The sequence below is a fragment of the Homo sapiens genome, chromosome 1 (assembly GCF_000001405.40).
Source record: "Homo sapiens chromosome 1, GRCh38.p14 Primary Assembly".
NCBI lineage: Eukaryota > Metazoa > Chordata > Mammalia > Primates > Hominidae > Homo > Homo sapiens.
The window spans coordinates 1,753,095-1,766,163 of NC_000001.11; the positions used below are offsets into that span (position 1 = coordinate 1,753,095).

Genomic DNA, 13,069 nt, shown 5'->3' on the forward strand with positions numbered 1-13,069 from the left:
TCCAGAAAGGCCCACCCCCGGCCAAGAACCCTTCCTCCCTCCCTCCCTGGGAATGGCCGGGACTCTTTTCCTGTGGGGCCGGGCAGCCCCTCCCCGAGGCAGGCTTGAGCAGTGCCCCATGGGTGCTGGGACAGAGCCATCCCAGGTCCTGGAGGGGACGGTGCAGGGAACTGACAAACTCTGCCCCAGGGCCCTCAGGGGTGAGGTCCCAGGAGGTGGGTGGGGGTGGGCAGCAGTGCCAGGGGGGACACCCTCAGGCCTCTGCTGGGGCCAGGCCTGCATGTGCCACCGTATGCGACCCGCTGCCCCCAGGACGGGTGCCCCGACTGTGATGCTGCAAGACCCAGGGACTCAGGCCCTGTGGTGCCCTAGGGGACAAGCTGTGTCTACAGGCCAACCGCAAGAGGGCAGGCGCTGCCTGGCCCGGGGAGGAGGTTGGCAGGCAGCGCCCAGCCCGGCATGCAGCCCACACCTGTCTCCATGGCGGATCTCTTGTCTCTTCCGTCCATCAAAGGACACCCATGCTGTGTTCCTTGCTTCAGGTGACAGCATGATCTGAGGGTCAAGCAGGGAGAGGTGTGGGCCCCCAGCTGTGGGGAGGACGCTTCTAGGCACCCACCCCTGAGTGCTCGCCAGAGGTCGAAGGTTGGGCAGCTCTGACCCTGCCTTGCGGACGGTGCAGTGCACGTCCTACAGGCACCGGCCCAGCTCAGCACCGCCAGAGACCAACAATGGCAGAAAGCCCCTCAGACCCGGGCCCTGGGCACCTTGATGGACAGAACTCGGGCACCAGCAAGGGAAGGCTTGCATCTGAGGGGGCACAGGATGGCCCTAGGATGACGAGGCCGCGTCTGAGGCTGGAGCCAGCATGGCAGAGCGGGGTGCTAGGTCCCGGCTTTGTGTTGCACGGGGTCAAATGACTCACAAACCGGAAAAGGAGTGTCGTTGGCTCTGACCTTCAGCTCGACCCCTGCGGGGACCACGATGGGCCGGAAGGACAGCGAGTGGGGGCAGATGGGCGTGATCATGATGGCCGGCACGTTGGGGTGGATCATGGAGGCCCCGGCCGCGGCCGCATACGCCGTGCTGCCCGTCGGGGTGGACACGATCACTCCTGACAGGGACAGGCGCAGGCGTCACTCCCGCCCGAGGGACGCTCAGGGCCCCAGGACAGTGCTGCGGGCCTTACCGTCGCCCTGCACCGTGGTGATGAGGTGTCCGTCCAGGTAGACATCCACATTGGACAGGTAGGAGGAGGGGCCTCTGTCAATCACCACCTCATTCAGGACCTGGAGGGGCGACAGCATTGCACACTCAGGGCGGGGGATGCCGCACGGCTCGCAGACACCCTCCGTCTCACCCAGCCGGGCTCTCCGGAAGGTCCTCATCCCTGGGACCGAAGTCGCCCCACCCTGGGCCCCTCACCGAGGCCGAGGCGCCTCCACTCACCTGGTACTGCATGGCCTGCTTCCCGACATCCATGTCCAGGCCTGCAGCCTGCGAGCCGTTCTCACCCAGCCCATTGTGCACGGCCGTCTTCTTCCCCCGGAGCTCCTTCACCACCCTGACCTTCAGCCGACTCCGGAGAACAACAGCTGCGTTCCCTGAGGTCCAGCAGGAGTCAGAGGGCATGCATCAGGGAAGTCAGTGGGGTCAGGGGCCCCACCCCAGGGAGGCCAGTGGGAGTCAGAGGGCTCTTTCTTCTCCCAAGTTGACACACTTCTGTGCCTTTTTCTTTTTATTTTGAGATGGAGTCTCACTCTGTCACCCAGGCTGGAATGCAGTGGTGTGATCTTGGCTCACTGCAACCTCTGCCTCCCAGGTTCAAGTGATTCTCCTGCCTCAGCCTCCCAAGTAGCTGGAACTACGGGTGCGCACCACCACGCCCAGCTAATTTTTGTATTTTTAGTAGAGACGGGGTTTCACCGTGTTGGCCAGGATGGTCTCATCTCTTGACCTCGTGATCCGCCCGCCTCGACCTCCCACAGTGCTGGGATGACAGGCGTGAGCCACCGCGCCCGGCCGACACTTCTGTGCCTTCTGAGAGTGAGAATCAGCTCACTTCTGCCCAACACACATGGCAGCTTCAACCTGTGATCTGCTGAAACTTCTCAGTGTCAGTAAAAGGTTTGAACCACTCAAGATTTAGAAATCCCTGAATCTTGAAACCTTTAAATGTTGCTCCATGCATCATTAAATGAAAATAAACCCCCCGCAAGCAAGCGAGACAGCAGCGCCATGATCAGAGCTCCTGTGGGCTCCAGAACATTCCAACTCACCCTCTATCACCTGAGTAACTTGGGACTGAAAGTTCTCAAAGCTGAATGGGGTCAGGAAGCCCAGGGAGCCCAGGTGGAAGGCCATGACCGGAGGGACGCTGCCCTGTGAGCCGACGGAGAGGTCACTCAGTGCCCACGCCGTGCACCCCCGCACCACCCAGCTTTCCAGCAGCACCTCAGGAGGGACCCAGCTCTGTGGGGACAGCACCCCGACCCTCTGCAGGAGGGACTGGCCATGTGGACAAGCGGAGGGGGACGTCGCAGGCCAGGGTGGGCCGGGCCACCAGGGCCAAGGTTGGTGTGGGGAGCTGGTGAGGAACAAAGGTGGCAGGGCTGAGCGGCCCCCTGGGCACGGAGGGCTGGGGGAGCTGGCGAGGGCGGGTGGGAGGCAGCCTTGGGGTCGGAGCCTCGCGCCCCACAGGTGCTAATGGGGAGATGGGGAGAAAAGCAGGGCGGGCTGCGGGCATTTCCGGTGTCACCAACATGCAGTGGGCCAAGGGCAGAGCCAGGGTCCCCCACACAGCGTGGCCCTACAGCCCCAGGGGAGAGCTGTGCTGCTGAGAAACCAGGAAGAGGAGCTCAAGGGAGGCCCAGAGGGGATGGGCCAGTAGGCGAGGTCGTTTCCCAGGACCCACCACCCTGCGCCACTCCCTGCTGTCCCAGGCGGGCGCTGGCCACCCCCAGCCGTAGCACTGTGTCCACACTGCCCCTGGCCCCACCGTCGCACCCCACCGGGCTGCCACCATGGGCCTCAGTGCTGGCCGCTCTAGGTGACTGCTCTCGTATAAAGGGGTGAAAAGCAATGGAAGCCATGCTTGTGAGCCCCTCGTTACGCAGCACCTAGACTAGAACCTGGTGTGGGTCTGGAAATGTCAGCGCTTCACCTGGAAAAGCGAGGAAGCGTACAGCAGCGTCCCGTCTCCCCCCAGGCAGATGATGAAGTCTATCTGATTGGAAATGTCATCATAATCTAGGAAACACAAAGCAAAACCAAGAAGAGGCTGTCACACAGTGGCCCCTCTGTGGCGCAGTGCGCAGACACCAATGACAAGGGCAACAGTGCCAGAAGCTTCCAATGGGGCGGGGAACTGTGCTGGAGAAACCAAGGACAGAGCTGCTGACAGCCCACCTTCTCGAAAGGTACAGAATTTCTTCTTCACTGCCCCAAAGCTTTCATCGCTGGCGATGGCAGGGTCTTCTAGCACTTTCTTTTCCACATACACGATCATGTTCTCCTGGAAGCAAAGTGCCAACCTGCTCATTCCACCTGCAGACCCCACCCTCCTGCAGGGAGGTTCCCGACTCACGGGCGCTGTGGTCAGAGACCTGGCATCGTGGCCTGCATGCCCGCCCCCCCACGCTCACGCTGAAACTTCATCACCAACGCGCCAGGAGGAAGCAGGACCTTTAAGAGATGACTGGGCGGAGGGGGCTCCCTCTCAGGAATTGACTAAGGCTGTTATTTCAGGAGTGGCTTTCCTGGGCGCCGCAACCCCCACGCCTGCTCTTCTGAAGAGAAGACACAGCAGGAAGGCCCACGTCAGATGTGGCCCCTTGATCTCGGACTTCCCGGCCTCCAGGGCCACGAGCCCACCAGCTCATTGTTGGTCACCCAGTCTGGTGCTTGCCATGGCGGCACACACAAACCCAGACACCCGGCAGATCCCCACTCAGTCCCCAGTTCCAGACAAGCAGCCGTTGCCCAGCACTTGAGGTGGTTCCCATGGTCTCACGGGGCGGTGATGTGGATGGAGGCCCCCCCAACTCCATGTGCACCCCAGGCCCCCTTCCCCCCTGCCCCGCGTGCCTCCATGAGGTGCGTGCAGAGCTCCTTGAACGGCTGCAGTAGGCTGGCATCTCTCATCTTCTTGATGACAAGGACGCTCTTTGGGGACTTGTTCCACGTCAGCCGCTGGCTCGCGGGGTCCTGAATGTGCCTTTAGGGGAGGAGAAAAGAGTTCACACCAGCTGCGATCTCCCTCTTGCGGAAAAGGTGTATGACTTAGAAAATAAAAAAAAAAATCTTTAAAAAGGTGTTTTCACCTCCCAGGGAAACGTGCTCGGTGGCCACGGGCTCACAGGGCCTAGGGTCGCGCCACAGAGACAGGGTCAGGGGTCAGTAGGGTCCGGAGTGACCACCTCTCACCTGCTTGGCCCATCACACGCAGGCTCAGGCCCACAACCCCCACCCGGGCACCACGCTGACCCAAGTGCACGCACCACAGCCCTTCCCAGCCCCCGGCCACTTGCCTGCCTGGCTCCTCAGTGACGCTGGTGGGGCAGAAATGACCACGAAAGCCCATGGCTGGGCCACTCTTTGCTTGATGCCCTCCTCAGGCCCCCACGAAAACCCAAACCAGTTGACATGGTGACTCTGTCCCTAGGATCCTCTGCACACAGTTTCTGGCCCCACGGGAGCCCAGGACCCCTCAAGGACCCGCTTCCCCCCCTGCACACAGCTCACTACCTCCCTGCATGAACGGACTTTAACCTCACTCACTCTCACAGTAAAAATCACAGGTTTAAAAGTCCGTGGCAGCCCTGACACAGCCACCCGCGCTTTGCTGGCTCTGACCCCGACCACTGTGCCCGGTGTTTCTCCACAGGCAGGGCCCACCCCGGTGGGATTCCCATTACCACGTTAGTCACAGAAAACATCCCAGCCCAGAACCGGGAACACACACCACGGAGCCTGCTCCTGTTCCCAGAAGCCAAGGGAGGGCGCAGCGGGGCTGGCCACCGTCGTCAGCGCTCACCGCCTATCCTCAGCCCCAAAGGACAAGTTCTTATACCACCGCGCCAGCCAGCTAGTTCCAAGTTGCCCAATCGAGAAAGCTGCTGCCTGCCATGCCTCTTCCCAGCAGTGACTTCCCCAGGAGTGTGACCGTCCCACTAACACCCCCAGAACCACAACACAGACGCCGATGGCAGCCACAGGGCCACAGACCTTAGCCCATCGCTTGTGACCTTCGGAAGCTGGTCAGCACTCACCCTGTGCAGGCATTACTGGGAGGCGTGGGGTCACTCATGCCATCCCCTATGAGCTCAGCACCTGCCGGGTCACACATGTGGCTCGCGAGGTAGCCCCTGCCTGCTGGGAGCCGGCCAGTGTGTCCACAGCATCCAGGCCACGCTTGGCGAACACGCGGCCGCCCCATCGGTATGGTCCTGACTGTGCGCCCACACTAGAAGCCTAAGCTCTTCATACTCAAAACTCAAAGCAAAACACAATTGTGATGAGACTTGGTAAAGTTGTTGTAAAAGCAACTAAGTCAAAAGAGCTTCCTACACTTATAAAAATCAAACAAAACAAAACAGTTTCCTCATTGGTCACATGGTCCTCCTGCCTAATCCCTTCTGAAAAAAAGTCCTCAGTTCAGCAGCAAAGAGGCCACACTTCAGCTCCCTGCTCCTAACTGAGCCGGGTGGGACCAAGCCCTCTGTTCCCGTGGCCTCAGACCTGGCCAAGTACCCAGCCTCCAGCCTCGCCCCAGCACTGCGCCAGCCACCGCTCTGGCCCGCGGAACCGGCTGGGCCCCAGGGAAGGCACCCTCAGGCCACAGTCAGGTGGAAGGGCGTTCCCTGCCTCCTAGCCCGCTGCGTCACTCTGCTTGGCTCCGGCCCAAGGGCGTGCAGGTGGCTCACGGTCCTCCGGCCTGGTCAGCCAGCAAAGCCCCCGCCCTGCACACGGCTCCCCCTGCTCTCCCCGCCAACAGTCACCACTGACCCAGTGGCCTGGCCTACACCCATTCCAGCCCTGAGGCTCAGCTGAGCCCAGCCAGAGCCACCAGCAGCGGCGTCGTACACCGGCCCAGGCACCCACCGCTGTGTGTGACCACAAACCAGCGCCTCGACCTCTTCCTGGGTCACCTGCAAAGCAGGACACCAGCCCTTGCAGGCACGCACGGCTGTGGGTACTGCACGGAGAGGGCAGGGGGTGGCGTGAAGCTTGCAGGCACACACGGCTGTGGGTACTGCACGGAGAGGGCAGGGGGTGGCGTGAAGCCAGCATGGCCACAGCCTGGCCCGCCTGGCCAGCTCCTACTGAGACTGTCTCACACATGGGTGGCCACGCACACTGTGACACACGGGCACTCACGCACCTCCACAACACAGGCCCACCAATTCCCTGGACAACAAAACAGGAAGCGGGTGCCCTCCTCACCAGGCGCCCCCACAGGGTCTTGCTCTGGACTATCAGGGAAGACGGAAGTTCAGATGCATGGGAAGCCCTGCCCCTCCACAGCGGGGATGGGAAGCGGGAGGTTATGATCCCAGAGACACAGAGCCCAGAGGGGGCGTGCTCCCATGGGGGTGCCGAGAAAGCTGCATGCCCCTCAAGGCTGCCCCACAAACCCACCGCTTCCTCCTGCGGGGCTGTCTGGCCTCGGGCAGCTCGGGGACCACTGAGTACGCCCTGGTCTGAGGGCTGAGGCAGAACATGCACCTGTCCGGTGACCCCGCCCTGGCCCGAGTGACTGACGGCTGGTGAAGGCAGCAGCTGAGATGCGAGTGACAAAGGAGTGGCTCTGCCAGGACCAGGAAGTGCAGGGAGGGCACCAGGCAGCGGGGGAGAGGCCCGGTGGGGTGCCAGGGACACAGCAAGCACAGGATGGCGGGACAGAGCCACGGCGGGGCCGGGAGGGCAGTGGAGCACTCTGGGTCACCCACGTGGCTGCTGTGCAGGGAAGGGATGGTGAGGCCGCGGCGAGTGGTCAGGAGTCCACACAGCGGAGGGCAGCCGGGCAATAGTGCAGGGGAGCTGCTTGGATATTTTGGGATCAAAGTGACAGAATCTGCAGATGGACTGGATGAGGGAAAGCAAACAGGGGTCGGGCCCCCCGCCTCAGGCATTTGGCAGCAGTGACAGGTCACAGACACTCCGGGAACCAGTGGCACTGAAAGGGCTGGGCCTCAAAAGCACAAGTGCGAGTCACTTCCATCCTAAGGGGCTCCGTCAGCGTCTGGAGCAGCAAGGCCAACCCCCGTCCTGCCTGGGACGCACGCTGCCGCGGGGCCCACACTTTGCAGAGCAGCTCCTCGGATGACTCCCCCGTGGCTCCTGGGACCTGAACTTCGGTGACAGCCCAGGGCTGGGGCCTCCGTCCCTGCTGTGCGCCCCCAGCCTCCATGGCACCGGTGCCTGTCAGCAAAGGGCCATGCAGTGGCCGCCCCCGTATCACACGGCCGCATTGCGCTTTCTGGTCAACAGTCCCCAGCAGCCTGCGCGCTGGAACACTCGGCCCTTCCGCATGGTCCTCCCTTGCAGAAAGTGAAGCATCCATGACTCCGTGAAGGAGGAGGCCCTGAAGAGAGCCCGTTCTGCACAGAGGAAGAGAGCCCGTTCTGCACAGAGGCCTGAGAGCTGAGGCACCAGTCCCAGAAGCAAAGGCTTCTCTGGGGAAGAGGCAATGAGGATGTCTACCAGGTGCAGAATACGACTCTCAGGGCTGGCTGGGAGCTCACTTTTTTCTCTGGAGACAGTCTTGCTCTGTCGCCCAGGCGGAATGCACTTTGATAATCACAGCTCCCTGCAATCTCAACCTCCCAGGTTCAGGTGATCCTCCCGCCCCAGCCTCCTTGGCAACTGGGACTACAGGTGTGTGCAACGATGCCTGCTAATTTTTGTATTTTTCTGAGTCTGAGTCTTGCTCTGTCGCCCAGGCTGGAGTGCAATGGTGCGATCTTCGGCTTACTGCAACATCTGCCTCCCGGGTTCAAGCAGTTCTCTGTCTCAGCCTCCCAAGTAGCTGGGATTATAGGCACGCGCCACCATGCTTGGCTAATTTTTGTACTTTTAGTAGAGATGGGGTTTCACCATATTGGCCAGGCTGGTCTTGAACTCCTGACCTCGTGATCCGCCCCCCTTGGCCTCCCAAAGTGCTGGGATTACAGGTGTGAGCCACCGCAGCTGACCAATTTTTGTGTTTTTTGTAGGGATGGGCTTTCACCATGTTGCCCGGGCTGGTCTCAAACTCCTGGGCCCAAGTGATCTGCCTGCTTCGGACTCCCACAGTGCTGGGACTGCAGGTGTGAGCCACTGCGCCCAGCCTGGATTATAATTCTTTACACATAAAACACAGATATCAGATCGATCACTGTTGCGTTTTTCCCATGACACTATGACGGGCCTCCAGGCAGAATGTGTTGACAAACTGAACCATCAAATAGCAAACGCAACCCACCCCAGAATTCTCACTCACTCTTAAAGAAACAAAAAGGCAGCCCTGAGGATCTCATGTGGAAGCCGCCACACCCACGGGCTGTGACCCGGTCTCCAGGCCCCGGCTCGCCTGCCGTCCACTTTCTCAAAGCCACTGGAAAAGCCACAGCTGGGGAGCCCCCGCTCGGATGCCTGCACTCAGGGGGTTCAGGGAGGACGCCCATGTGGCTTTTTGTTTAAATGACCTAAACATGTACTTCTCACATGAAGTGCTAGAATCTTCCTCAACACAGCGATCCCACAACTCCACACACATCCCGAGGACTCCCCCATCCCATGGCCCCCGGCACTCACATGATGGTCTAGGGGTTCTCTCCCTTCCAAGAACCCCCCGTCCTGGGGCCCCAGCACTCACATGATGGTCTGGGGGTTCTGCAGCACACAGGCCTTTGGTCCAAAAGTGGTCACCGGGCATGGCCCATGAAGAGAGCGTGTCCTCCTGTGGGGAGAGGGCAGTGTCAGAGCCACCAGGGCCTGAAACCAGACATGCAGTGACAGACACAGATACAGAGGAGGTTACACGGTAAGGCATACATGCAATTTGAAAGATGCCAACTCCATCTGCCCAGCAGCCACACAATAGCCCTTGGAAGGTTCTGCCCAGGTCCATGGCTGCACTGGAGCGGCACCTGTGAGGAGCACGCATGCCCACGCGCCGCTCAGATCATGACCCAAGCCGGGGAGAGCTTCAGCCCAAACAAGGAAAATGCCAGGGCCAGGGCCAGCCTGGGATCAGAATTCCTCAGTGTCTCCAGGACCCCTCTCTAGATCTGCATTTGGGACTCAAAACCTGAGACAACATCTCATCTCTAAATCGTCTAGATTAAAATTCTAGCACAAATGTTCACTCTGAACTCATGTCAATAAAAAAGACGTAGGCCGGGCGCAGTGGCTCACACTTGTAATCTCAGCACTTCAGGAGGCTGAGGTGGGTGGATCACGTGAGGTCAGGAGTTTGAGACCAGCCTGGCCAACATGGTGAAACCCCCATCCTTACTAAAAAAAGAAAAATTAGCCAGGCCTGGTGGCGTGTGCCTGCAGTCCGAGCTACTCAGGAGGCTGAGGCAAGAGAACTGCTTGAACCCAGGAGGTGGTGGTTGCAGTGAGCCGAGATCGAGCCACTGTACTCCAGCCTGGCTGAAAAAAGTGAAACTCTGTCTCAAAATGAATGAATGAATGAATGAATGAATGAATGAATAAAAGACGCCAGATGAACGGCTCAACAACTTTCCTAGTGATTTAAACATGGCCAGGTCACAGTTAAATCACCCAGCCAGGGGCTGTGGCAGCCGCACGCGTCCTGGGGAGAATGCTGTCAGGACCGCTGTGCTCCTCAGGGTCCAGCACTGAGGCTGCCCTCGTCCTAGGTGCCCGGGAGCCTCCCAGTCCCTTCACAAACTCAGAAAACTTGCACACAGCTGGCCAGGCAACGGCCCAACAAAATCCTCAAGTCCCAATGCAGAAGAACGGCCTTCCGCTGCCTCGCAGGGCCAGACAACCCCAGGAGAGCCGTGGTGCCCTGAGGGCTGCTCCACAGGTGACACAGGCGTGGCCATCAGTGGTCACGGACTTGTTTACCTCAGCCTTTTAAAAATTGGTAAGTACAGGCCGGGTGCAGTGACTCACGCCTGTAATCCCAGCACTTTGGGAGGCCAAGGCAGGCGGATCACGAGGCAGGAGATTGAGACCATCCTGGCTAACACGGTGAAACCCTGTCTCTACACAAAAATACAAAAAATTAGCCGGGCGTTGTGGCTCACGCCTGTAATCCCAGCACTTTGGGAGGCTGAGGTGGGCGGATCACCTCAAGTCAGGTGTTCGAGACCAGCCTGGCCAACATGGTGAAATCCCATCTCTACTAAAAATACAAAAATTAGACAGGCGTGGTGGCATATGCCTGTAATCCCAGCTACTCAGGAGGCTGAGGCAGGAGAATCACTTGAACTCGGGAGGCAGAGCTTGCAGTGAGCCTAGATCACACCACTGCACTCCAGCCTGGGCGACAGAGCAAGACTCCATCTCAAAAAAAAAAAAAAAAAGAAGAAGAAAACGAAGTACATTACAAAAGAATTTTACTTACTTACGAACTGAAAAGATTATTGCGGAAAACAATGTTTCTCGAAGTGGGTGTTGGGATTTAATGTTTCCTTCCCAAGGACAGGCTATGCTTGGGCGTATTTGGCTACCTCCTCCCCCACCTCACCCTGAAGGCGCCTGTCACTCACTATGGAGGCGACCTCTGACCCAGGGCTGCTGTCATCAGGTTCAGAATGCAACAGAAATGGTGCATTATGCCAAAGAACCCACAGGAAAAAAAAATAAAACCCCAAAGCAATTCTGTTCACGCAGTCACTGCGCTGGGGTGGCCTGGAGGTACAGGACAACGACCCCCACTGACAACGAGGCAACGAGGCATCTGAGAAAGGCTGAGTGGTGACGTGGTGCCTGCGGGATGAAGGCAGCCACCAGCGCTCGTAGCCTCCTGGCTCAGGCAGCGACTCTGTAGACAGAAAACGTGGGAGTAGCCTGTTTCTCCACGGCTGCCACCACGTCAGAGGCGCTACAGGCTCTCCCATCTCACTGGGTAAGACAACATGCTTTCTAAGACTACTTTTCACCAAAAAGCCCCCCTTGCATTTGATAGTCGTGATCCTTGTTAGGCAGCGCCGGCTCTGGCAAGCTTCCACCTAAAACTCACCACATTTACCATCACCAGAACCGAGAGCACCATCCCCAGGCACCATCACAGCTGTGCTTGTGCGGCCACCGTCATGCAAAGCCCGGGGCGCTGTTGCCCAAGCAGCATTGTGCAAGGGTGAGCGCTGTGGGCACTCTTGGCACAGGAGGGAGCCACTTGCCCAACATGTGAGAGGGCTGGGCCCGCCCAAGGCCACGCTCATAACTCTGCCTCCACCAGCCCTGCTCACAGTGCAGAACCCCCCAGCCTTCGCCTCTCAAAACAAGCAGAGCCAAGAGGGATGTCCCCTCACACCCCAGTGACTTCTGTAGAGCAAATGTTTCCAGGCCAGGCACAGTGGCTTGCACCGGTAATCCCAGCACTTTGGGAGGCTGAGACGGGCAGATCACCTGACGTCAGGGGTTCAAGACCAGCCTGGCCAACATGGTGAAACCCCGTCTCTACAAAAATACAAAAATTAGCCGGGCATGGTGGTGCACGCCTGTAATCCCAGCTTCTTGGGAGGATGAGGCAGGAGAATCACTTGAACCTGGGAGGCGGAGGTTGCAGTGAGCCAAGATTGCGCCACTGCACTCCAGCTTGGGGGACAGAGCGAGACTCAGTCTCAAAAAAAAGTTTCCTCTCCAAGTGCGCTTCAGTCTAACATCAAGGGTCAGCGTAGGCGCCAGTTAGATGGTTCTGTGCTGATACAGACAGATAGAGAAACACGGTGGCACCCTGTGCCTGTGCTGGCACCTGGGAACGTGCGCCAGGCAGGTGTCCATGGGCCAGGATCCCCCTTCAAGGGCACAGCTTCACCTGGGCAAGGACCCAGCCTCACCTTCCGGATGCATCGACGCAGACTACTCAGGAGAATTCTTCATAATCGTTTTAAGAAAGAATATTATGAAATCAGACGAGAAAAAAAAGAGGAACCATCCCTCCCAGTTGTACCTGAACTCCTTGGTGCTCCCCAGGGCGGGCGAGGCAGACAGGCTGCGAGACTTGGCCCGGCCCCGGATGGGGTGGTTGTAACTCCAGGTCTCATCGCCGTGGCAGGCCGAGCAGCAGTAAGCAGCCGCGTCTGGACTCAATTCCTTATTCATGGTCATTTTTTCTTGTTCCATTTCCATTGTCAGGAAATGAGAACTTCGGTCAGAAAAACACTGATGCCTTAATTTAATAAAATAAATAATGTAAATAAAGTAAATAAATATGTATGAAACAATAATAATTTACACATACATATGTTCCATTTCATCAAGGGGAAAAAATGGCTGAAGTCCAATTTACCAAAGTACTTTGAAAACAGACTGTTTCCATTGCAAAGATATTTAAGAACTACTCTAGGTTTTTGGCTGGGTGCCGTGGCTCACGCCTGTCATCCCAGCACTTTGGGAGGTAGAGGCGGGCAGATCACTTGAGGCCAGGAGTTCGAAACCAGCCTCGCCTGACCAATATGGTGAAATCCCGTCTCTACTAAAAATACAAAAATTAGCTGTGGTGGGCGCCTGTAGTCCTAGCTACTCGGTAGACTGAGGCAGGAGAATCGCTTGAACCCAGGAGGTGGAGGCTGCAGTAAGTCGAGATCATGCCATTGCACTCCAGCCTGGGTGACTAGAGTGAAACTTCATCTCAAAATTTTTTCTGTAAAATAATATTAACAAAAAAAATTGTTTCAAAAAAGAACAAAATAGAAAGTCACACTGTGTGGCCAGGTGTGGTGGCTCATGCCTGTAATCCCAGCACTTTGGGAGGCTGGAGAGAAAGGATCAGTTGAGGCCAGGGGTTCAAGACCACTCTGGGCAACAAAGAACTCTTCTCTAGCAAAAAAAAAATTAGCCGGGCATGGTAGCCCATGAGCGAGACCCTGTCTTAAGAAAAGAAAGA

The 13,069-nt window shown here is 58.2% G+C and overlaps 1 protein-coding gene across 12 annotated transcripts in view, besides 2 other annotated features; it reads right to left on the reverse strand.

Moving 5' to 3' along the window:
- The window catches only part of NADK (NAD kinase), a 29,283-nt gene that overhangs the window by 1,863 nt on the left and 14,351 nt on the right, over positions 1 to 13,069 (reverse strand). For 4 of the 12 annotated variants that reach the window (XM_047428631.1, NM_001353641.2, NM_001198993.2 and 1 more), the window contains 10 exons: positions 12,134 to 12,352; positions 8,858 to 8,941; positions 4,087 to 4,216; positions 3,409 to 3,514; positions 3,164 to 3,249; positions 2,280 to 2,382; positions 1,450 to 1,604; positions 1,190 to 1,289; positions 957 to 1,114; positions 473 to 555 (listed from right to left, as the gene is read on the reverse strand). In XM_047428631.1, the coding sequence (XP_047284587.1) occupies positions 473 to 555; positions 957 to 1,114; positions 1,190 to 1,289; positions 1,450 to 1,604; positions 2,280 to 2,382; positions 3,164 to 3,249; positions 3,409 to 3,514; positions 4,087 to 4,216; positions 8,858 to 8,941; positions 12,134 to 12,312 (1,184 nt within the window). In that variant the 5' untranslated portion in view covers positions 12,313 to 12,352. Of the gene's footprint in view, positions 1 to 472; positions 556 to 956; positions 1,115 to 1,189; positions 1,290 to 1,449; positions 1,605 to 2,279; positions 2,383 to 3,163; positions 3,250 to 3,408; positions 3,564 to 3,684; positions 3,789 to 4,012; positions 4,217 to 4,963; positions 5,041 to 5,270; positions 5,549 to 6,006; positions 6,150 to 6,639; positions 6,809 to 8,796; positions 8,942 to 12,133; positions 12,353 to 13,069 lie in introns of those variants that run through there. The other 8 variants (NM_001198994.2, XM_047428656.1, NM_001353642.2 and 5 more) reach the window with 8 other exon arrangements.
- Positions 30 to 559: an enhancer, noted in NCBI's record as "H3K4me1 hESC enhancer chr1:1684563-1685092 (GRCh37/hg19 assembly coordinates)". NCBI's record gives its function as "activates a minimal SCP1, AML or CMV promoter by ChIP-STARR-seq in primed H9 embryonic stem cells {active_cell/tissue: H9 hESC(primed)}" and the evidence as "EXISTENCE:reporter gene assay evidence [ECO:0000049][PMID:30033119]".
- Positions 6,900 to 7,857: an enhancer, noted in NCBI's record as "H3K27ac-H3K4me1 hESC enhancer chr1:1691433-1692390 (GRCh37/hg19 assembly coordinates)". NCBI's record gives its function as "activates a minimal SCP1, AML or CMV promoter by ChIP-STARR-seq in primed H9 embryonic stem cells {active_cell/tissue: H9 hESC(primed)}" and the evidence as "EXISTENCE:reporter gene assay evidence [ECO:0000049][PMID:30033119]".